A 24980-nucleotide genomic window follows, 5' to 3' on the forward strand; every position below is an offset into this window, starting at 1 on the left:
GGGGGAAGGGCTCTAGCAGGGGACTCTGGCCTTAAGGCCGTGTTCACCCCCCCCTTCCCCGCCTTTTCACCCCATAAAACCCAGCCTTACTTACCCTTTAAACCTTCTGTGAGTCCACATTATTTATTTTTTAGTATACTTTAAGTTCTAGGGTACATGGGCACAAAGTGCAGGTTTGTTACATAGGTATACATGTGCCATGTTGCTTTGCTGCACCCATCAACTCATTATTTACATTAGCTATTTCTCCTAATGCTGTCTGTCCCCCATCCCCCTACCCCACGACAGGCCCCAGTGTGTGATGGTTCCCCACCCCGTGTCCCAGTGTTCTCATTGTTTAGTTCCCACCTATGAGTGAGAACATGCGGTGTTTGGTTTTCTGTCCTTGTGGTAGTTTGCTGAGAACGATGGTTTCGAGCCTAAATCTTTATGGCCACGGGACAGACAAGAACCCAGTCTTTAGCTAAACTAAGGAAAAGTCCTGCAACATTTCTGTAAAAGAAATTAACAGCAATACCTGATATATGAATGCTATGTTGCAATTTATAAAGGGTTTTAATGAAATATACTTTAATTCTCATGACATATTAATAAAATAGAAGGGCAGAGTCTCATTTTAATTTTATAGAAAGAAATTAGATTTTTAAAAATAGGCTAAAAAACTTGTTCAAGATTATATACCTTGTTAGTAATAGTTGTGAATCAAACTCAGGGCTTTGATTCAGTGATTTTATTTTCCCTCAGCAAACATGCTTTAAAAGCATACACGACATTGCAAATATCCTGGATATCCATTAACTATACATCTGAGAGTTCTTCTGGTTTGAAATAGAGGAGATTCTAGAGTCTCTCCACCAATGGTATAACAAACACACACAATCTTGAGCAAATGAAAAAGAAAGAAACCAGAATGCCACACAAAGTAAAAACATCCACATATTTATTAAAACACATTCAGTCAAAAGTCAAGACTCCTGTCATTGGATGTATATCAGTTCATTGGGTAAAGTATCGAAATTGTATACATCTTTTCAGTTATTGTTTATTCCTGTTATGCAGGTGGTACAAAATGTACTCATTTTATTTTTACAGGGAAAGTTGCAGAAGATTTGCTTTGACCTCAAAGTACATTCTTTGTTTCCCTGGTGATAAAGACCTCAGTCATAGGACAACTGGGTAAACTGAAGTAGCCAATTCTGCAAAGGAAGGTGGACTTTGCTTTCCAGTTCAGGATCTTTTATTACTGGTACTATTAAGGCAATCTTGGCAAAGTCTCATTCATATTTATTTATGAACTGTGTTCTTGGCTAGATAAGAGGGTACACTGTCACAAGGCAAGGCAGCAGCACTCCTTTTATGACATCAGAGAGGTCTTTGCCAATGGCTCTGTTGCATGCTTACGTAATGTAAAATAGTAGGCACATAGTTGAATGAAGGCTCAGGCGGAGAGGATCACTTTTCAAAGATTGTAAAAGAAGTTACGTGGATAGTGTGTGTTATGCAGCAAGGTACATTGTCCTTATTTTCATATTATGCTGTATCCAAATGGCATAAGTAAAATGGAGCTTTGGCAATTATATAGCTAATGTGATCGATGTTAATGGACAATCTGGTTAATTTGGCTTTTAAAAGTAGATTTTAGCAAGAAGTGAAATGTCAAGAGAGCACTTAAATGAATTTCCTTCGATTTTTAAGTTAAATTGCAGTCGCTGACTTTATTTTCCAATTATCATATGATGTTTCAATAGTATTGTTCCAATAATAACACTTTGTTCTTAAAGAGTCCCTTGCAGTCAATTAATTCAAAGTACATTCGGGTGTATATACAGGTTATCAGTTGACATCCAGCTTTATGAAACATATGTGAGCTGCAAGCAATTGGTAACTGCTACTTTCAAGCATTGGTAACTGCTACTTTCACTGTCCTTATTCTTCTCTGCACTGTACTCACAGTGCTTTCTAATATCCTTGGGCAATTATATATATTATATATATAAAATATATACACACATGCATACATATGATATATAATTCTTCATACATTTAGAGAGATACAGTTTTAATACTCCTTAATTTGAAAGTATTAAGCTAGGCCTTCTTTCATTGTTGGACTGCATTGCTTATTTTTCTCAAAATGTCAATTCACACATTTAAATGAATATTTATTAGCCACATGTTAATTTTATGCAGAGAACTAGGTTTTAGGTTCACTCATATGAAACTGCCAATGTATAAACACTTTTGACCTATAAATCTTCTATTTTGTGAAAAGGAAGATTAGATAGCAGCTACTTTGTATTGTGTGACTTAAATCTCCCTATCTTTTTTTTTTTAAGATTCCACATTTAAGTGAGATCATGTGATCTTTTTCTTTCTGTCTGTGGCTGATTTCACTTAGAATAATGCACTCCAACTTCATTCATATGGTGATTGGCAGGTGGTAGGTTCTCCTCCATTTTTAAAGCTGAATCATATTCCACTGTGTATATGTATATCATATTTTTCAAGGCTGAATAATATTCCATTGTGTTTATGTATATATCACATTTTCTTTGTCTATTTTTCCATCGATGGCCACTTAGGTTGTTTTCATACATTGACTACTGTGATTGAATGTACAACACGAGGACTATAGTTAATAAAATTGTATTGTATTAAGAACTTTTAAAAATAAGTAGATTTTAGCTGCTCTTGTCACAAAAAAGTAACTATGTGAGATGATAAAATATGTTAATTTGCTTCACTATAGTAACTATTTTACAATCTATATGTATCCCACAACATCATGTTGTGAAACTGAAATGCACACAATAATACTTGTTTTAAAAAATAAAGGAAGGCTAAGATGAAGAAGAAATACTTTTTTGGAGGAAGTGAAATTTAGAATTTGGCATGATTTAGCATTACATTTCAAGGAAGATTCAGTAGGGAGACTCTTTCAGAACATAAATGGAATGTACAAGAGTATAGAGGTAGGAAAAATACAAAGTGTTCAGAAATTTGCAAGTTGTTAAGTTGGCCTGATGCCTGTGTGGTGTGGGCTACAAACCTGAAAGAAAGCATCAGGGTAGATGATGTAGGGCAGAAGTGACAGCTGGTTAAGGAGTCTGAGTTTTTTCTACCGAGCCATGTGAATTCATGGAGGGTTTCTGAAAAAGGGAGCTCAATGATGGAGGCAATGCTCAGAATAGACCAAAGGTGGAAGATTACAGAGAAGGGAACCAGGCAGAAGGCGGTGGGGGCTCAGATGAGAGCTGACAAGATTGGGGGACATGAGTCCTGTGAGAGGAGCACTGTTAGGCATGGATTACACAGCATGAAGAACAACTCTTCATGTGACTCTACATGTTAAGAATGATGCCTGGGAAAATTGTGCTGTTTCATAGATGAGTATGACAAAAGGAGAAGCTGCTTTAAGAAAATACTGAGTTCAATGAGATGCAGGCAAATACATCCACAAGGAAGTATAGCTCAGAGATGATAAGTTAGCCCATGCCAGTGGCTGTCAGCAAACCAAGGGAGTAAATATTCAAATGAAAAAGTATGCCATGGTCAGAAATCTGGACAATAACAACTTTTCAGGGTGAACGGAGGGTAAAGGATATGGAAGGGCTAGAAGATTCAGAAGACCACAAGGGACACTTCCATTTCTGAGACTAAAGCAAACCGGTAGGTTGGGACCAACCCCTCACAGAACTAAGCATTCTGTGTCAAATATAAATACCTTTCATAACTAAAAATTCTGGATCAAATAATTTTAAAAACTTAAAGACATCAAAGAACTGATAAGAGAGTATGGAATTATGAAGCCTGTGAAGAAAATGGGGACCCAGAGATGCAGTGCCATTGTCTCCCACAGCCTTTGTCAGTTTCTGCAACTGTGAACTTTGATTTTAACATCAAGTCCCAGGGCATGCCGAAATGGGAGAGTTAAAAAGGATCCCTCCCACATTAAGCTGAGATTCCAAATAGCCACACTATTATGATAAGGATGAGAAGAGGTGGACTCATCACCCACACCACCCAAAATAACCCAGGTGACTGTATTTGTGCTAAGCAAAGAAGGGAAATAAAATCTTTCCCGTAGAATCTGTATTTGTAAACTAGTCATTGTGAAGGTGTGCAGTCCTATTCACATCACCTAAGTAGTTCCAAAAATATTAAGCCATGAATGTAGTTTAATTTTAGTCTAAATTGGTCATAGGCTGGTAATGCCTCTAGCTTCTGTCATTAATATAAATACAAATGATTTCTGAAAGAAGGTATCTATTTGAGGCCTCAAAGATTCTCCACAAATAATGTTTCAAGGACAATTTCCAGCACACAGTCAAAAATGACAAAACACACAAGAAAACAAGCTACCATGAGTGAGAAGTGGCAGAAATAAAGCCATAAGACAACATAGATAAGAATTGTCAGCAAATATTTTTAAATAATTATATTCTATAAGTTTAACGAAGGAAAAGCTTGAAAATATCTGCAAATAGGAAACTGTAAAAAATTACACAGCCAATTTTTAAAATGGTCAAATATAACTTTTAGGAATAGAAACTATAATAACGATTAACTAAATGCACAGACTCTTGAAACTCATTAATAAGAAAATGAACAACCCAGTTAAAAAGTAAGCAGATTCAAAGCACTAAAAACACCAAATACTGGTGAGGATGTGAAGCAACAGGAATTCCATTTACTTCTTCTGTGAAGGAAAATTGGTATAGCCACTTGAATTAGAAGTGGAGCCTGAAGATATGACTGAATTGCTCAATCTCATGGTAAAATTTAACGAATGAAGAGTTGCTTCTTGTGGATGAACAGAGAGAGTGGTTTCTTAAAATGGAATGTAATCCTAGTGAGGATACAGTGAGCATTGTTTACATGACAAAATATTTAGAATATTGTATAGATTTAGGTTGATAAAGGAGCAACAGTGTTTGAGAAGATTGACTCCAATTTTGAAAGAGTTCTACTGCGAGTCAAATGCTATCAAACAGCATCACCTGCTACAGAGAAGCCTTCATGAAAGAAAGAGTCAATGGATGAGACAAATTTCACTGTTGTCGTATTTTTTTTTTTTTTTTTTTTTGAGACGGAGTCTCGCTCTGTCGCCCAGGCTGGAGTGCAGTGGCGGGATCTCGGCTCACTGCAAGCTCCGCCTCCTGGGTTCACGCCATTCTCCTGCCTCAGCCTCCCAAGTAGCTGGGACTACAGGCGCCCGCCACTACGCCCGGCTAATTTTTTGTATTTTTAGTAGAGACGGGGTTTCACCGTTTTAGCCAGGATGGTCTCGATCTCCTGACCTCGTGATCCGCCCGCCTCGGCCTCCCAAAGTGCTGGGATTACAGGCGTGAGCCACCGCGCCCGGCCTGTTGTCGTATTTTAAGAAATTGCCACAGCCACTGCAACCTTCAGCAAACAACCACCTTGATCAGTTTCCAGCCATCAACATTGAGGTAAGACCTTCCACCAGCAAAACAACTACAACTTACTGAAGGCTCAGATGATCATTAGCACTTTTTAGCAATAAAATATTTTTAAATTAAAATATGTACATTTTTAGATATAATACACTTTACAGAATTAATAGACTAAGTATGGTGTAAACATAACTTTTATATACATTAGGAAACCAAAATATTTGTGTGACTCTCTTTATTGTGATATTGCTTTATTATATTTTTAAAATTTTAAATTAGTTTTAAAATTTGTAATTGACACATTATTATACATATTTATAGGGTGCAATGTGATGTTTCAGTTCATTTATACATTATATGATGATCAAATCAGAGTAATTACCATATCCATCACTTTAAACACTTACCATTTCTTTGTGGTGATTACGGTCAAAATAATTGTTCTGGCTCTTAAAATATATATAGTCACCCTTATGTGTAAGAGAACACCAGAACTTATTCTTCCTGTCTAACTATAACTTTGTACTCATTGACCAACCTTTCCTGGTCCTGCCCTCACCTCTTCCCTCTCCAGCCTCTGGTAACCACTATTCTACTGTCTACTTCTATGAAATCAACTTTTTTAGATTCCACATATGAGTGAAATCACACAGTATCTTTCTGTGACTTGCTATTTTACTTAACATAATGTTCCTCAGGTTTATCAGTTGCCACAAATGACAGAATTTCATTATGTTTTATGAAATGATATTTTATTGGAGATACATATATCATATTTTCTTTATCCATTCATCTGTACATGGCCATTTAGATTGATTGCATATATTGGCTATTGTGAATAATACTAGGATAAACATGGGAGCAGATATCTCTTTGACATACTGATTTCATTTCCTTTGTATATATAGCCAGTAATGAAACCACTAGATCATATGGTAGTTCTATTTTTAATTTGAGAAACTTCCATACTGTTTTTCATTATTGCTCATTGAGAATGAAAGCATTTTAACAGCTGGTCTGTGATCCATTCACTTTCTTTGAGGGTGGTGGGAGGAATTACCTTGGAGGGGGGAATAAAAAGGCAGATCAACCCAGTCTAATCTCTGCTACCTGGAACTCCAGGTAAATAGACTAATATTTGCTAAAAGGAAAGATTCTTATCTAATGATATGAATTAGTGATGTATGGCAGGACGTCCTTGCTAAGTATTACTTAGTAAATGAGCCCAGAATTTACAGATTTATGACACATGATTCCCTAAAGAAGATCACATGTTACAGAACTCTCTGGAGTGTACCGTGGAGACGTTTATAACTTAAGCACTTTTCCTGCTATGTGAGGTAAACCTGAAAAGCCTTATCTAAAACCTCTGTTATTATTATCACAGAATACATGTCTGATGTGGGGAAAAGGACCCCTTTGATGTCCCAAACTTTGCTGTGTCCCATGCCTCTTGACTGACCATGACCTGAAATTTTTAATAAGGCTTGTTACTGTATGAGAACTCTCTGAGTGAGCCTGATTTGACAGCCTGATCTTGTGTGTTAGCCCACACATGAAATCAATAAAAAGAGTTTTAATTAAATGGTACTCAAAACAGATATATAGACCAATGGAACATAACGGAGGCCTCAGAAATAACACCACACATCTTCCACCATCTGATATTTCACAAACCTGACACACACAAGCAATGGGGAAAATATTCCCTATTTAATAAATGGTGTTGGGAAAACTGGCTAGCCATATGCAGAAAACTGAAACTGGACCCCTTCCTTACACCTTATACAAAAATCAACTCAAGATGGATAAAAGACTTAAACATAAGACCTAGGACCATAAAAATCCTAGAAGAAAACCTGGGCAATATCATTCAGGACATAGGCATGATCAAAGACTTCATGTCTAAAACACCAAAAGCAACGGCAACAAAAGCCAAAATAGACAAATGGGATCTAATTAAACTAAAGAGCTTCTGCACAGCAAAAGGAACTATCATCAGAGCGAACAGGCAACCTACATAATGGGAGACTATTTTTGCAATCTATCCATCTGACAAAGGGCTAATATCCAGAATCTACGAAGAACTTAAACAAATTTACAAGAAAAAAGCAAACAACCTCATCAAAAAATGGTCAAATGATATGAACACACTTCTCAAAAGAAGACATTTATGCAGCCATCAGACCTATGAAAAAACGCTTATCATCACTGGTCATTAGAGAAATGCAAATCAAAACTACAATGAGATACCATCTCACGCCAGTTAGAATGGCGATCATTAAAGTCAGGAAACAACAGATGCTGGAGAGGTTGTGGAAAAATAGGAACGCTTTTACATTGTTGGTGGGACTGTAAATTAGTTCAACCATTGTGGAAGACAGTGTGGCGATTCCTCAAGGATCTAGAACTAGAAATATCATTTGACCCAGCAATCCCATTACTGGGCATATATCCAGAGGATTATAAATCATTCTACTATAAAGACACATGCACATGTATGTTTATTGCGGCACTATTCACAATAGCAAAGACTTGGAACCAACCCAAATGTCCATCAGTGATAGACTGGATTAAGAAAATGTAACACATATACACCATGGAATACTATGCAGCCATAAAAAAGGATGAGTTCATATCCTTTGCAGGGACATGGATGAAGCTGGAAACCATCATTCTCAGCAAACTATCACAAGATCAGAAAACCAAACACCACATGTTCTCACTCATAAATGGGAGTTGAACAATGAGAACATATGGACAGGGGGAGGGGAACATCACACACTGGGGCCTGTGAGGGGTGGGGGCCTAGGGGAGGGATAACATTAGTAGAAATACCTAATGTAGATGCCTGTTTGATGGGTGCAGCAAACCACCATGGCACATGTACACCTAGTAACAAAACTGCACGTTCTGCACATGTAACCCAGAACTTACAGTATAATAATACAAAATAATGCTTGGTACTATAGAGTGCTTTATTCTATTGAGCTTTGTGTGTAAACTAAGGTGAACTGAAATAGAAAACTATTAGCCCTCAGAAATTATTCTGCAACATTCTAGGATCTGTAAATATTGCTGTGTTAACTCTGCTATAAAATCATTATCTATGTTATAATACAACTTAAGAAAATATCCAAGAAAAAGACTACAAGAACATATGCCAAAATATTAATAGTAGTTATCTGTGGGTAGTGATATATGTGGTTATATTCAGTTTTTAAATTTATTTTTTCTATTTTCCCCAAACATTTTATAATTTCATGCATACTTCTTTCTATAAATAATAAAAGATAAAGTTTAAAAATTGTAGTCAATCTTATGTGACACAAATTTATCACAACTATGTTTAAAAAGTACCCAGCAAAAAGACTGAAAGGAAATACACCATATGTTACCTAAGATTTTCTCGAAATTGTTGGAAGTTGAGTGACTTGTTTATGTTTTTCAGTGTTTCTAAAATTTTCATAAGAAGCATGAATTATCTTTATAATGAAAATAGCTAAATTTTTACGGAGAGTATACAATTTGAAATAGATTTTAAACAGATAATTTCTCCCTTCTGGTTAGCCCCCTTTTAACCATTTATTCCTGTAAAATAACAGTTAATGCCTAATTGTTATAGAAAGAGTACAAAGTTTGTTGACTTCAGCATTAGGATTTTATGATCCCAAAAACATCAGTGACTTTTTCTGTAAAGCTGGCATGGGATGACAGTCCACTTCTGGGTTTGCAGACAGTGGACCTGTTACCAGGTGGCTGACAGATGTGGCTTCCCTCTAATTTCTGGGAGGGCTTCTATTGGATCACTTGGATGGGTGATCTGCAGCTGAGAGGGGCTAGAACCAACTCAAGGAAGGAAGGCCTCTTTAGAAATAAATTTAACTGAGTCTGGAGGTATAAGTAGAAGCAGAAAAAATGTCTGAGTCAGAGGGTAGAAGATGGGAGAAAGTCCCAAAGAAGGAAATAGTTTGGAGTATTGGAGGAACTGTAGAAAGCCATAGTGATTGAACCAGAGTAAATAAAGCAGCCTGGAATGGAAATCAGTCCAAGTGCCCAGGAACTCATAGACTGGGATTTTTATACAAGACCAGTGGAAAGTCATTCAAAGATTTTCAACAGGGGACTAATCCTCTTGGAGAAATAAATAAAAAGGAAGGCCATCTTCACATTCAAAGCAGTCTCATGTCAGGGTTGAGGCACTAGAGTCCATCTCTTTAGGGACAAAGCTGTACTTTGAATAAATATCAGACTTAAAGTTTGAATCTGTGTAATTAAGTATGTCCTACAGCAGAGTGGTTACAATGTCAGGCTTTAAAATCAGACTGTCCTGGCTCTGACACTTCCTAGGTGCGTAACTCTAGGTAAGCTTCTAAATCGGTACAGTGAGAATAATAACTTGCTGCTGTAAGAACTAAATAAATAATGCACATAAAAGGTGAGCATAGTGTCTGGTACATAGTGATCAACAGTAGTAGCTATTATATCCTGACTCACTGCAATAGAGAAAGTATAAAATCATCACGCAGTGGACCTTTATGGTCCTTACATAAGCTAATGCTGGATGCGTTTTCAGTGAGCTAAATTGTACTCAGTGATTTCAGAGTAATGAGCCAAATACATTAACTGTTCTGGAAACAGATGAAGCCTGACTATTTTGACTAAATATAGAGATAATTAGAATCTAGGCTCTATCTGTTGATAGGCTTGGGGAAGCATAATGAGAATCATCATGTCGTAATAGAATAATACACAGGGCTAAAATGAATCAGAAAGTTCACAACACAGATGAAAACATCTAATTTTATTGATGTCAGAAATACATTATTAGCTGAATCTTCTTATAATCTTATGCTGTTTGTTTCATTTGTAACAGCTCCTAATAGTGTAATCAATTATGCCTTTCTATTTTGCTGCTGAAGCGTTTTCTTTCTTCCACACATAGTTTGGTACAATTATCAAATGTCAGATAAAATCCTTTTCTGTAGTTTTATAATATGCATCAAAAGCACTCCTTCTTTGATGTAGTCGAGTATAGAGATGAAAGGTCCTTGCAGATACTTTTATTCAAAGCCAGAAAACAATTTTCCACAGGAAAGGTATTGACTATCTCCCCTGGTATCAAGGTCTAATTACGTAGTTGCATATTCTTATTGGAGCAATTCATGTTGCCAGGAAAACTCCAATATTATTAGATAATACACATGAAAATAAATGTACATGTTACATGGAAAGAAGAAAAAGATAGACTATAAAATATGGGTTCTGGGCCAGCCTTGGGACCGAGAAGCAAATGCAAATGTTTAGAATTGCAGGGCTCATGCTCACCTCTAGCAGTGTGGGAGGAAGTGAAAGGACACTGCTAATGCTAAGTCTGTCTTCATTTGATACTTTAGGGTTAGGGTGAAGTCCAGGATCTGAAACACCAAACTGCGCAGTAAATCAAACAACTGGGAGTTGTGGTTAAAGCAGAGTTTCATTAGGGCTAAGCTTGGAAATTGGTTAGTGTATGGAGTACAGTGCAGGTTCACAAATGCCACTGATCACTCCCAGTCTGTGGTTAATTTTATCTCTAGTCCTTGGCAAAATGAAAAAGGCAAAGACAACATAGTGAGTTTTTCATATGGTAAGTTCTTTAAGTGTTTTTATTACAATTTATGTCCTGCTCTTTCTCGCATGTAATAATAGTGGTAAGATTAAAAAGTTGATAAAATTATGTCAGTGTGCAAAATACTTAAGTATTGATTTACTTGTATATTGAATCTAAGAAATCAAAAACTCTAGGATCAAGTGCAATAGAGCACATGTAGCATTATGGTCAGCAATATAGGAAGTCAAAATGAACCTTTCAAACAAAGCACGGAGCCCTCATAAAATCAGATTGTTGAGATACATATATTGGAAACACTAGAAGTTGGAATCTGGAGGCCTTGGTTTGATTTGGGCCTGTAGGCTTAGGCTAGGACAATATGCAAAAAATTTAATCAATGATATCTCACTATCTTATGAGAACTTACTCTGGTTATAGTGTGGGGATACCAAAAAGGATCTGAGTGGCCAGGCACTTGAATACTCAGTCCATTTGCTTTTCAGGATCAGGGTGAAGTCTGGATATAAAACACTAGGGTCTGAAACGCCAAACCAAACTGTACAGCGAATCAAACCATTGCAAGTTGTGGTCAACTCAGATGAGTTACATTAGAGCTAAGACTGGAAATTGGTTAGTGTATGGAGTGGTAGTCGTTCCATATTGTAGCAGTTATTATGGCCATATCAGTTGCCTGAATATTATTCCTAGGTACTTACACTCCTTAAATACTAGCAGGAAGAATGCCCGGGAGCTTTAATAAGCTAACCCTAATGTTTGGTATCATCTTCTTTCCCAGATTGAATTTTGTAAATAAATCCTTAATATCAAGCATTACATGTTTCTGAAGGGAGGTCTGGCTTCAGTTTGAACTGATTCTTGTTCTGGAGGATACCATGGAAGCCAGTTTGATTCCACGATTGTTAGTTGGTCTTTGAAGGATAAACTTTACCATGAATTGGAGGCCCCAAACAGACTCTGCTACTTGTAAATTACGAAAAAGTCAACTTAGTTTTTCCATTCGCCTTCTCCTCCAGGTGATAACTACACTAGCTTTGACCTCATGTTTAATAGCAAATATTTTCAACTAATCTTTTTTTCTTTATTTCTGAAGAAAAAGAGAAAAGACACTGGGAAAATATAATCTGTCCCAAAACCATGGGACTATAGCAAGACAATAAAGAGACTCCTGGGCCATCCATTCTCAATGTTTATACTGCTTCCAATCAAGACTATTTGTACATTTAGCTCCTTTTCACTTATCTTTGAACTGTTTGCCCTGTAGAATGCATCTTTGAAATCAGCCATTCTGATTACTCAACACGTGTTCTGAGAAAAATAACCTCTTCACCAATGGTATAACACTCCAGGAATTGTATTACAGTCTTTAAAAAGGGAGTCAATAATAATCAATTTACAATCAAATCCCAAATGGCCTCTAATTGTTCTATGGTTGCTGGGTTGGAAACATTCATGGTCTCTTCAAGGAATTATAATGTAGTTGTAAAATACTTTAATATTCTCAGATAAAATATGTTATATCAATGCATTATAATTAAAATGCATTATTAGAGAATCTCTGTTTGCTTTTGCTATATTTAACATTTTTAATGTTTGCTATATTTAACATTTTTAATTTGCAACATATTGCTATCTCTAATTGCTCTTTCTCAGAATTACTGTATGAGATGAATGAGAATTATACTGGTGAACTTCATCCCTTTTTAATAGGAAAGGAATGGAAAATCAGAAGACGTGTTTAGATCACACAAACCAGAGGTGAAAGCTGAATCTGAGAGGCTTCTGTTTCCAGCAATAAGGTAACATTAGAAGACCTGAAAAACCCTAGACATGCTGGACAGTTGGTTCACTAAGGGTTCAACCTGATGCTGTAGTAGGTTGTGGGGCGAGACTGAGGGCCTTTCTCTTGGTAAACTGGAAGCCTGGTTTTAACACCCACAAAAGGACAGTAGATGACATATTGGGCCTGTTATGACCTAAATATTTGTGTCCCTCCACTCAAATCCCTATGCTGGAGCCCTAACCCCCGGTGTGATAGTATTTTGAGATGGGACCTCCTTTTCCCAAAGTAATTAGGGTTACGTGAGGATATGAGGATGGGGCCCTTATGATAGGATTAGGGCCCTTATAAAAAGAGACGTTGGTGAACTTGCTCTCTAGTTCTCTCCACTATGTGAGGACATAGTGGGAAGGAACAGTCCACAAGCAAAGAAAAGAGCCCTCACCAGAACCATACTATGCTGGCATCCTGCTCTTAGACTTCCAGCATTCAGAACTGTGAGAAAACAAATGCCTTGTTTTTTAAGACACTGGGTTCATGGTATTTTGTTATAGCAGCTGAGCAGACCCAAGTGTGCCACATAAAGCTGATGCCCTGAAAGTATTGCACTTTTAATCTAAGAGTGCACTACGAAATAAATTTGATCCCTAGCCAAGAAAGACAACAGATACATTTATTTGTTTCTGCCAGGGTTCTGGGTGAAGAAATCAAAGCAAAGAGTTACCCCCGATAATCTAATACCACAGATCTGTGCCTCAAATAGGTTTAGAGCTTGAATTTAGTCTACTCAAGTAGGTTAAACCTTCAATCCCAGGTTGAGAAATTAACATAAAGTTGTTATATTAATCCCTAGGCCAATAATACCCCAAGCTCCTGACTGAAACCAAACACTCTGGAGGGACACTCTCACATGCAGGCCAGAAGGAATTTGAATAGAAGGAAACAGGCTAAAGAAGAGAGCTCATGGCAAAAATTACAAACCATACAAGGAAGGCATTCACCACAGTGAGAGTGAGTAAAAACAGCAGAATTACAACCTAAAACTTGAGATAATATGACGACAGTCTGAAGCAGAATATAACAGAAGTATGCTTAAACTAAGTAAGACGTGAAAGAATTGAAACCCTAAAAAGGAATAAGAAAATATGAAAAAAAAGAGAAACATGCAGGCACATTGGATAAAGGAGAATAGGAAAAACAATAGCAGATAAAAAGTTTTAAATTGACAAAGAACAGATTAAGCAGCTAAATAATTGATGAACTGAAAGCTCTACCTGGGGATATTAGACAGCGTATTGCACTGGGAAATTGTGACATGGAGAAAGGGAAATTGATTAAGATTTAAGAAACATGGAAGGTAGAATTAGAAGGTCCCTGCACCCCTAATAGGCAGTACAAAAGAACAGAACAGAAAAAATGGGAGAGATATAGTCTTGAAAATTCTTGTAATAATTTTCCAGAAGTGGCAAAATGTATAAATTCATCAAATCAAGAACCACATCATTTTCAAGAAGGATAAATAAAAATAAATCTACACCTAAATACATCACAGTGAAGCTGTGGAGCTTAAAATCTTAAAAGCAAACACAGAAGTTACTTAACTAAGAAAGCCACAACTATTAGACAAAAACAAAAAACTTTTCAATAGCAAAAATAGAGAGGAGAAAGTAGCGAAAGAATGTATTTAAAGGGCTAAGGAAAAGTAACTGTCAACCTAGTTTATACTCAGCTAAATTGTTATTTAAGAACCTGTTTGAAACAATGACTAAAAACTTTTTTACTCAAAGACCCTTGCTAAAGAGAACTAGTAAATGATGTGCTCCATAAAAAAGGTAATAAAATTCATGAAGGAGTGGGATAAAGGAAGCAGTGATGAGCAACCACATTTATAAACATTGGTATCTAACTAAGCATTGCAATGACAATAGACAGATTTGAAAATATAAAAACAGGATGGAATGAAAACACTAGAAAAGAATAGAAAGTTAAAAAAATCAAGTTTGGAGTTAAAGCATTTTAAAATCCTTTTAATTGTGAGAAAAAAGGTAAAATATTGATTTAGTTTAGGCATTGTTATATTGACAATTCACGTTAAAAGTTCAAAACACTACTAAAGGAAGAGAAATAGAATATATAACTTTTAAACCACAGACAGCTGATGGATTAAAAAACTGTCAATTAAATAGAATCCTAAGAAGAAGGAAAAAAGTATGCTAAATAGAAAGAATAAGATGGTAGAAATCAATCCAAATATATTCATAATCATAATAAATGTAAATGATCTAAACTCACGAATTAAAAGAACATATTCAAACGAATTTTTAAAATATCAGCTCTGCTGCTTATAAAAATACACTCAAAATACAACACAGAAAAAAAGTGAGAGAAAAATTATTCCAAGAAAACAATAACCAAAAGAAAGCTGGTATAGCTACAATTCATCTGACAAAATGTCTTTAAGTAAAATTTAAAATATATTTATTAGGAAAAAAGCACACAAGATACAAAAATTCTAAACTTAAAAACAATAAACCTAAATAGCTGGGCATGTTGGCCCACACCTGTAATCCCAGCTACTCAGGGGGCCAAGCGAGGCATGAGAATCACTTGAACTTTAGAGGTGGGGGTTGCAGTGAGCCAAGATCACGCCACTGTACTCCAGCCTGGGCAACAGGGTAACACTCTGCCTCAAGATATTAATAATAATAATAATAAACCTAAAATAATAAAAAATTGATTAAACTACAATGAAATATTGACAAATCTCGATTATATTGTAAGTCTTTAATATAATTATTTCCATAATTAATGAATAAAGCAAACAAAAATAGTAAATATTTGAAATATATTTCAGAAAAATTAATGAGTTTGATCTAATTTACTTATAGAAGAATCCCATACCCAAGAGTTAAAGAATACACATTCTTTTTAAACACACGCACATCATTTACAAAAATTCACCATATAATGGTTCCAAAACAAGCCTTGACAAACACCAGTGGATTTAGAGACTACATCATGCAGATGATATTCTCAAATCATAATGCAAAAAGATGAAAAGTAAATGTCAAAAAGTACTAATCCTTCTGTTTAGAAATTTAAAAACATACTTCAAAATAATTTATGGATCAATGAAGAGACTGTTATATCAAAACTTGTGAGTTTAAGCTAACCAATCTTTAAATGCATTGATGACAAATATTAGGAAAAACGCAGATTGAGAATTAAGAACCTATGGAAATAGAAAATTTTTTAAAAATGCGAGTTTATACTGATTTATAAAAAAGAAAATAAACTCTCTGTCTAATATTAAAGTTAGGAGAAAAAGAACACTTATAAGTTAGCATGCAATGTAGGAAAGATGAGCTTCTAGTGTTTTGTAAATTTGAAGCCTTGATTTATCCCTAATGGACAACTAGGGGCACTTGACCCACCCCCTACACTGCTTAGTGGTTACCCACGAAAGTCAAGCTGCTTTGGAATTCCGATTCTATCACTTACGAGACATGCGGCGGTGAGCACATTGTTTGACTTTCCTGGGCCTTTAAGTTTTCCAATCTGTAACATGGGAATCATAAAACACAGGGAGCTCTCATCATCCAAGTATTTATTGGCCAAGCTTTTATAGGAAAATAAAAATAATAAAATGTGTCATAATTTGAAAACCTTGACTCATGAATTGACCGCTTCAGTTGAATCCCCCACTCAAGCTCCTTGACTCTGCCTAGCAATGTCTGCTTTGATCAGACTCTCACTGACCGTCCAACACTGGAAACTGCATTTTGTGAAAATGGTAATGATCATTAAGAATATAATTAAAATGAATGTAAAACAAAAATGTGAACAGAGCAACTAACGCAAGGTGTCACAAACTCAATAGAAGTGGAGAAATATCTGAATCACACACAAAGTCACTTCATGAAAAAAACAATTGACCAGAGCAATGACATGATAGGCATTTCAAAGGAGACTAAATTTCATATTGGAGTTCCGAGGAAAATAATGAAGAACTCAAATTTTGGAAAATCACAATTTGAGTTCTTCATGAAAATAAAGATCAGAATTTTTTATGATCTTGTTAAAAACTTCCTCTTTATGATCTTTTAAAAAATACGAACCTAAAGAATATTGTATTATGCAATCGTGTAATTTTCTTGGTAAAAGTGTGTGTTCCCCCCAAAAACATCCATTTGAATCATTCTTTGTTCATTTTAAGAACTAGTACAAGTTGTAGTTACAATGTGTGTGTATGTATTGCTGATGTAAGATAAAATAAATGTGTGTTATAATGTTAATCATTTTTAAAAGATATGCTCTAATCAAACTCTCCCCACCTCCAACCCACAACCACATACGCACAATTTACTATGAAATCAAGGTTTCTGTTTCAAGTGGGATTTTTTTTAACCTAGCCTTTCCCAACACCAATTATATTTGGATAAGGAGGACTTCATGGACCTATGTATGGGATTACTGTCAACCTTAGTTGAGATAATTTATGTGATTACAGTATGCCTGGACCATAGTAATCATTCAATAAATATTAGCAGTTAACCATCCTGGGCTATGTTATGAATCTAAAACTTTAAAAGATCTCCATGCAAACTCTCATTGTTGCCCAGTGTGGTCCTTCATAAACTCCAGAGCTGATCCAAATAAAACTCTTCTCCATTTTCCACACATCTCAACACACTTCACTTCCTGCTCTTTGCCCCAGATAAACTTTCCTGGATTCTGCATGTCCAGATCCTTCAAAGTCCAACTCAAACACAACTTCTTGCAAAAATCCTTTTCCAACACCCATTTGAAATAACCCCTTTTCCCTTGTATTCTCTATTCTCAGAGCAATATGTATACTCTGTGATAGGACTTACCACTTTTTCCTTAGAAAGTGTTTTTCATGTCTTGATTTCCTTAGTAGGTTGTAATCTCTACTAAGAGTAGGTCCTCTGTTTGTGTTATGTTAATATCCTCATAGACTCTTTCACTCTGACTTGCATATAATATCCATTCATCCACACATTTATCCACAAACATTTATGGAATGCCAAAAATAGTTGGTTCTTAATAATTGTATGTTCATAAAGTGAATGAACAAAAGATAAGGCAGTTTATTAAATGAGCATAATAGGAAACTTTCTTTCAGCTTGCCCAGAAAGATTCCCTTCCAATCTTTTCTGAATGATAAGAACACACAGGATCCTAGGTATATGCCCTTCTGGAGATACGCTCGAGGGGGTAGCATGTGTTATTCATTACATCACATATAACCTTTTCAAATTTACAATCAATCTTGCTTGGAAGTCTGGTGTCATTTAAAAAGCACGGCAGTGTGCTGGGAGGAGAGACAATCTGAGGAGGCTACAGTCTGTGAATCCAAATACCCTATTTAAAGATCCAAACATGAAGAAGGAGGATGTACTAAACACATCATTTTCCTTCCAAGTGATTGAAAAGGGATGGTACATTGAAGTTTTGTTGGGTTTCAATGCACTGATTTCTTCCCTACCTGTTTTTCTCAGGTTTGTCAGGTACTTAAGAGTCTATTTCAAATTGCCTGCAGACTCTTTTTCTCATGTTTCTTAAAACTATTTGTGATTAAATCACCCACATTGTCCTCTAGGCTCTAATGATTCTCTTCCCGTGAAATCCTGTTTTTTTATTTTACTTTATTCTTTTTATCACATCTTTGTTTTCCACTACACTGCTTGCTTTTAGTATTCCCATCAATTTTTCTGTTTCTTGATTCTCCATGCACTCTCATATTTGTTCACCTATCTATTCGCTCAGCATATAGTTTCAGGGTAACTTTCAGGGTTAAACACCATGCTGGTCAGAGATAGGATTCCTGAATTTAGAGGGATCACAGTCTAAAGTAGTGATGGAGGACTGGAAAATAGAAATAATGTTATGTGACATAACAAGCGAGCACAGGATAACACCATGCATATAATCATACAGGCATCTCTATAAAAATGCTGAAGAAGTGTGCTCCATTCTTCATTCTCTAATAAATATGGAGTAAAATTAATAGCTAAGGATTCTTGGAAGAAATTAGTATTAAACTGTGATTTAAAGTAAACAATGAGCGCAAAGAGGAATTCCAGGTATCCCAAATAAAATAGCAGAGGTGATGGGATGTTTCATTGCAAAGATGCCTGATTGAGAACAGTTATTTCTCAAAGTGCCATCTATGGACCAACTGCATTGGGATCATTTAGACTGTTTTTAAAATCACATACAAGTGAACTTCACCCCCAAATCTATTGAGCAGGAATCTCTGGAAGTAGCTAAAATCTGTCTTTAACAACTACTCCAGATTATTTCTAGGCCTAGCAAAGGCGGAAAACATTGCATAGAGATAGGGGAAAATTAGCAGGTAACAGGCAGATTGGTTTGGGTGATGCCCACGAAGATGAGATATAAGTAAAAGGTCAGCTGGGAGGCCCAGACAGTTAGTCTTATTATTAGGTTGGTGGAAAAGTAATTGCAGTTTTGCCAAAGTAAAAGTAATTGCAGTTTTTGCCAAAGTCCTATTATTCGGTTGGTGCAAAAGTAACTGTGGTTTTGGCAATTACTTTTGCACCAACTTAATATTACGTATCTTCTATGGTTTCCACTGGAGAAGTGAGTGTTAGCATTTTGGTGTGCTACTAGGAACCAGGCATGGTGCTGGATATTCACCAAATGAAATAAAATGTATTTCTCAAGACAATCCATCTTCTATGTTTCTACACCTGGGCTGCTGAGGACTATTACAGAAAACCATAGAGCATGCAGATTGATTTCATTGCCAGTATGCACTCTTTGCCCCATTTAAGCCCTCAACATTGGCCATCCTGTATTTCTCAAGCCATCTCTTTCAACTCTTTACCCCAGAGCTATTGCAAACTTTCTCCATTCTCCTGAAATCTCCTACTGTACTGCCTCTCTCCTAATTCTTGGTAAGTAAACTTAAATACTACTTTACTAAGGGAAAGAAGCCCTTTAGGTAGGACCCTCAACTTCCTTCTGTCCTCCCTACAACATAGCTGATCTACACCCAGCCTCATTACCCACCCATTCTCCTGCCTAGATTTAATCCTTCCAACACGTGAGCTAGGAACAGCAGCATTAACATCACCTGGAAACTTCTTGGAAATGCAGAACTTCAGACCCACGTAGACCTACTGAGTCAGAATCTGCTTTTTTTTTCTTTTTCTTTTTTTTTTTTTTTTGAGACAGAGGACAGAGTCTCCCTCTGTTGCTCGGGCGAGAGGGCAGTGGCGCTATCTCGGCTCACCGCAAGCTCCGCCGCCCTGGTTCACACCATTCTCCTGCCTCAGCCTCCCGAGTAGCTGGGACTACAGGCACCCGCCACCGCGCCCGGCTAATTTTTTGTATTTTTAGTAGAGACGAGGTTTCACCGTATTAGCCAGGATGGTCTCGATCTCCTGACCTCGTGATCCGCCCGCCTCGGCCTCCCAAAGTGCTGGGATTACAGGCGTGAGCCACCGCGCCCGGCCTAGAATCTGCTTTTTAACAACATAATTCAAGTTTGAGAAGCTCTGCTAAAAAAAAAAAAAAGCAACAAAAAAGATGCCCTTCCTTACCTGTTCAGGTACGTGGTTTCTTCAAATGTTCCTGTGTCTTCCCTAAATACAAACCTACTTTCTCTGCTGGATCCTCTCAACCACATCTAAACATTTAAATCTCTCCCATTCTAAATCAACATTCAAGCCATTTTTAAAAACTGCCCTATAACCTCTTATCTCCAGGTAGTGAATGATTTATGCTCTTTTCCTCTACAAAGCCAAACATCTTCAAAGACTTTCTTATATTCTATTTCTATTTTGCTTCCTTTATTTCTCAACACACTTTTAAAAGAGATCATTAGCTGTTGTCCCCTATCAAGTCTTCCTCTTTTTCATGGTAATAATACCCTAGCATTTAGCCAGGCACCTGACTGTAAAGACGCTAAAGACTGTAAAGGCACTTGAGTAAATATCATTTTCTAGCTTCCCTTCCAGTTCTGTGTGCCCATGTTTCTAGGTTCTGATTGTTGGGATGCTAATGGAAATGATATGTGTATCTTCTGAGAAATTATCTTAAATGGAGAGAGTATAACCTTCTTGTTTCTTACCTCTTTTCTTCTGGTGCAATGTGGATGAAATGCTCAAATGCCACCAGCCAACATGGACCATAAATTAAATTTGGAATGGAAGCCACACATGACATGGGAACAAGATGGAAAACTTTAGGTAATAGAAACAATGGAATGCCATTCCAGACTGAACCGACATCCCTAGGCTTCTAGGACTTGAATGAGAAATATATTTCTGTCTTATTTAAGCAATGCTTTTAGAGGCTGTTAGTATCAAAATCCTAACTAATATTCTATAGCAATCTGCCAATCCTCCTTCACTTTCCCCACTCCCAATACTGTTCAAGTTATCAGTGGTATTTTTTGCCACTCCTCAAGGCACATAAAACCATTGACAACTCCTTTTGTTTCAAACACTGTTTCCTTTGGACTTCCATGACACCACATTACCTGGAGATATATATATATATATATATATATATTTTTTTTTTTTTTTTTTTTTTTTTGAGATGGAGTCTTGCTCTGTTGCCCAGGCTGGAGTGTAGTGGCATGATCTCGGCTCACTGCAACCTCCGCCTCCCAGGTTCAAGGGATTCTTCTGTCTCAGCCTCCTGAGTAGCTAGGATTACAGGTGCCTGCCATCACACCTGGCTAATTTTGGTATTTTGAGTAGAGATGAGGTTTCACGATGTTGGTTCCAGGCTGGTCTCGAACTTCTGACCTCAAGTGATCCACCCACCTCAGCCTCCCAAAGTGCTGTGATTACAGGCGTGAGCCATTGTACCCAGCCATTACCTGGATTTTTATCCAAACTCTCTTTTGTCTTTACTCCTTAAGTCAGAGCTTAACCATGATCACCTGGGAGCTTTGGAAAAAATACTGATGCCTGGGTCTCAATCCCAGAGTTCTGATGTCATTAGTTTGTGATGGGGTCCTGGCATGACTATTCTTGAAAAGCTCCCCGTGATTCTAGCATCCAACCAGGGTTCACAATAATAGCCTTAAGGATTGCTTGGTGGAAGACCATTGCAGAGTCTAGACTCTTATTTCCTGCTCTGCACATTCACCTTGACCAATCTCATCTACTTCTGGTTTCAGTTAGCATTTACATGCCGATGATTTTCAAACTAATATCTCTCAGCTCTCTCTGTTAAGTATGACCCATATACGTAACAACCAATTGGACAACTCCAATAGATATGTCATTAATATCTCATGATGATCATATGTACTATATTTTTCATTATTTCTTCCCACTCATCTAAAAAATTCTTGTTCATCTTCTGTGTTTATTAGAATAGTACTACTATCCACATAGTTGTAAGAGCTAGAAATTTCAGATTCCTCTCCAATTCCTTTAAGTCTCCCTGTCTAATCAATCATTACACTCAGTTTCAACATTTTAATATCTCTCACATTTATTCACTTCTTTTCATCTCCATTGCCATTTCCTGGTTGAGACTACCATTATTTCTTGCCTGTACAAGTTTCTCCAGAGTCCTGCTTCCTCCCTATTCTTCCTCCACACTGCAGCTGGACTGAACATTTAAGAACATGCATCCAGTTATGTCACTTCTTTGTCTCAGATCCTTCAGGGGTTCCCCCTTTGCTTTGGGATAGAAGCCAAAGGCCTTTGCCTGACCACCAGATGCTGCCTGACATTTCCCTGTCTTATCTCCTCAAACTCATGGCTCACCATTCCTCTCCACACCATGCTACTGTATAGGTATAGGGAACTGTGTGTAGTTTCCCAAATTCATGTGTTCCTCCATGTACCCACCCATAACTACACTGAAATGTCCTGCCTTTTCGTCCAGTTCACCAAATAGTTTTAAACCTTCCCTGTGTGTAGGGAACTCTGTCTTGATCACCACTTGTATACATAGGCATTTACACAATGTCTGGGGGTATAGTTGGCACTACAACACATATTACTGGCTACCTACTATGTTTCAAATATCATGGGGCTTACATCATGGTAGATTAAATGTTTGGTGATTGGGAAATAGATCCTTAATTATTTTATTGTATATCGATAAGCTCAGAGAGGTTTAATAATTTTCTAAGCATCAAAGCAAAAAGATGAGACTGAGGCTAAGTTTGATGTAGGTTGGCTGGCTCCAAAGCTCTTGTTCTTTCCACATTAATATGTTATACACACAGATGCTTTGTGAAGAGGCTATAATAAAGACGACATTTACAGTAGATGCCTCTGATACTTTGAAATGTTTCCTAGGTTATCATTGGGATTTCCTGGCTTTTCCAATCAACCTATGGCCTCTAACAAGCTCACAAAACAGCAGGCTGAAGCTATGTTCATCTAAAAGCAAAACATTTGGTCAATTAAACCAATTTAATAAAAAAACTGAATTTATTGGAAGGACAGCAATTTTCTTCTTGAATAGTTAGTTTGGCATCATGTGGGCAAAGCATTAAACTCTGGAACGTTTTTTCTTCTCCCGATTTAAATTTGGAATTTGAAAGTATGGCTTTCCTTGTGCTTCCTTTCTTCAAATTATGCAGGAGAGTAACTGTAGGTCTCAGAGACAGGTGCCTATAAAAGCTAGGTCAGTAAAGCAAATGAATGGACAAGGTTGTGTCCGTTCAATAACAGGTGCATGAAGACAAATGTATGTTGTGGTAATGTTAAAAAGGAATACAAGACTATGAAGGGTGGAAGAGGGAGAGATGAGTGTTGCAGAAATGTTGACTGAAAAGGAAAAAATAAAGACCAGATTTTAGGGAATAGAGCAGAGAGGGCAAAGAAATTTCAGTGAAGACCCTGCTTCCACTGGGTTCACGTAGAAGGAGAAAAACACTCCCTCTTGAGGGTGACAAGGTGACTATGGCAACCATCTTGAACCGGAACCAGGCCTGAATTTATTAACTCTGTGAGGAGTTTGCACTATAGGTTGAGGAACGACAACCAAATGGATAGAAAAATCTATCCTAACGCAGGAATAGAAAAGCAAATACTGCATGTTCTCACTTATAAGTGGGAGCTACATGATGAGAACACATGGACACACAGAAGGAAGCAACACACCCTGGGGCCTGTTGGGAGGTGGAGTGTGGGAGTAGGGAGAGGATCAGCAAAGATAGCTACTGGGTATTGGGCTTGACACCTGGGTGACAAAGTGGTCTGTGCAGCGGACCCCCATGGCACAAGTCTGCCTGTATGGCAGACCTGCATATGTACTCCTGAACTTAAAATAAAAGTTAAATTAAAAAAAGTCTATTCTAAGAGGAATTAGTCTTGTAAGTAGATCATCCCCACACCTCCATATGAGCTGCTTGCCCCAGAATCACACATGGTCATGAGTCAGCATCTGGGAGGGAAAACAACAGCCCCCGGACCAAGAAGGTATCACTGTCCCTTAGCACAGGGGCAGAGGGAGAGACTGACCATAGTTGCTTTCTGGAGATTTTCATGACCTAGAGGCAAGGCCCCAGAAATCTGGAAGCTAAGTGTTCTTAAAATATCTACATAAACTTATTAAAAAATCACCAGTTTTTCTTTAAGCCCGATAGTGTTTGGTTTTCAGACACTTGCAATTGTAAAAGTCCTCTGACTTTTTCAATTGTCTCTTATCAACTTATGAAAAGTTGCTCGAGCTTGCTCAAAACAAGAGAAACAAATTAAAATGAAAAGAGATGCCATTTTCACCTATCTGATTTGAAAAGATCTAAATGTTCAATAACAGGCTATGTTGGCCAAGCTGTGAGAAAGTGGGTACGCTCATACACTGTCGATGAAATATAAGCTGTTTGCAATGTTTATGAAGGGCAATGTGGGAATATTTATTAAAATAAAAAATTCATGGACTAAACCCAGGAATTCTACTTCTAGAAATTTATTCCACAAATATACTTATACATGTGAAAAATGCTAAATATATGAGGCTATTCATTATAGTATTGTTTATAACAATAAAAGATATAAATGAGCCTAAATGTCCATCAAGAGAGACTGGTTAAATGAAGTATGGTACAACCACATGGTGGAATACTCTGATATATGTTGTTTGGTGAATCAATTAATTTTGTGCTACCACTTGTATAAAAGGAAGGGGACAGAAAATGTTTATTCAA

At 36.9% G+C, this 24980-nt stretch overlaps 1 long non-coding RNA gene across 2 annotated transcripts in view; it reads left to right on the top strand.

The window, feature by feature from the left end:
• Positions 1-1421: 1421 nt before the first annotated feature.
• Positions 1422-24980, top strand: part of LOC105375409 (uncharacterized) — a 59585-nt gene continuing 36026 nt past the window's right edge. The window contains exons 1-5 of one of the 2 annotated variants that reach the window (XR_927773.4): positions 1422-1508; positions 12736-12824; positions 13659-13816; positions 20195-21045; positions 23125-23268. This is a non-coding gene — a long non-coding RNA (uncharacterized LOC105375409). Of the gene's footprint in view, positions 1509-12735; positions 12825-13658; positions 13817-20194; positions 21046-23124; positions 23269-24980 lie in introns of those variants that run through there. The other variant, XR_927774.3, reaches the window with a different exon arrangement.

This window comes from Homo sapiens, chromosome 7 (assembly GCF_000001405.40).
Source record: "Homo sapiens chromosome 7, GRCh38.p14 Primary Assembly".
Lineage (NCBI taxonomy): Eukaryota > Metazoa > Chordata > Mammalia > Primates > Hominidae > Homo > Homo sapiens.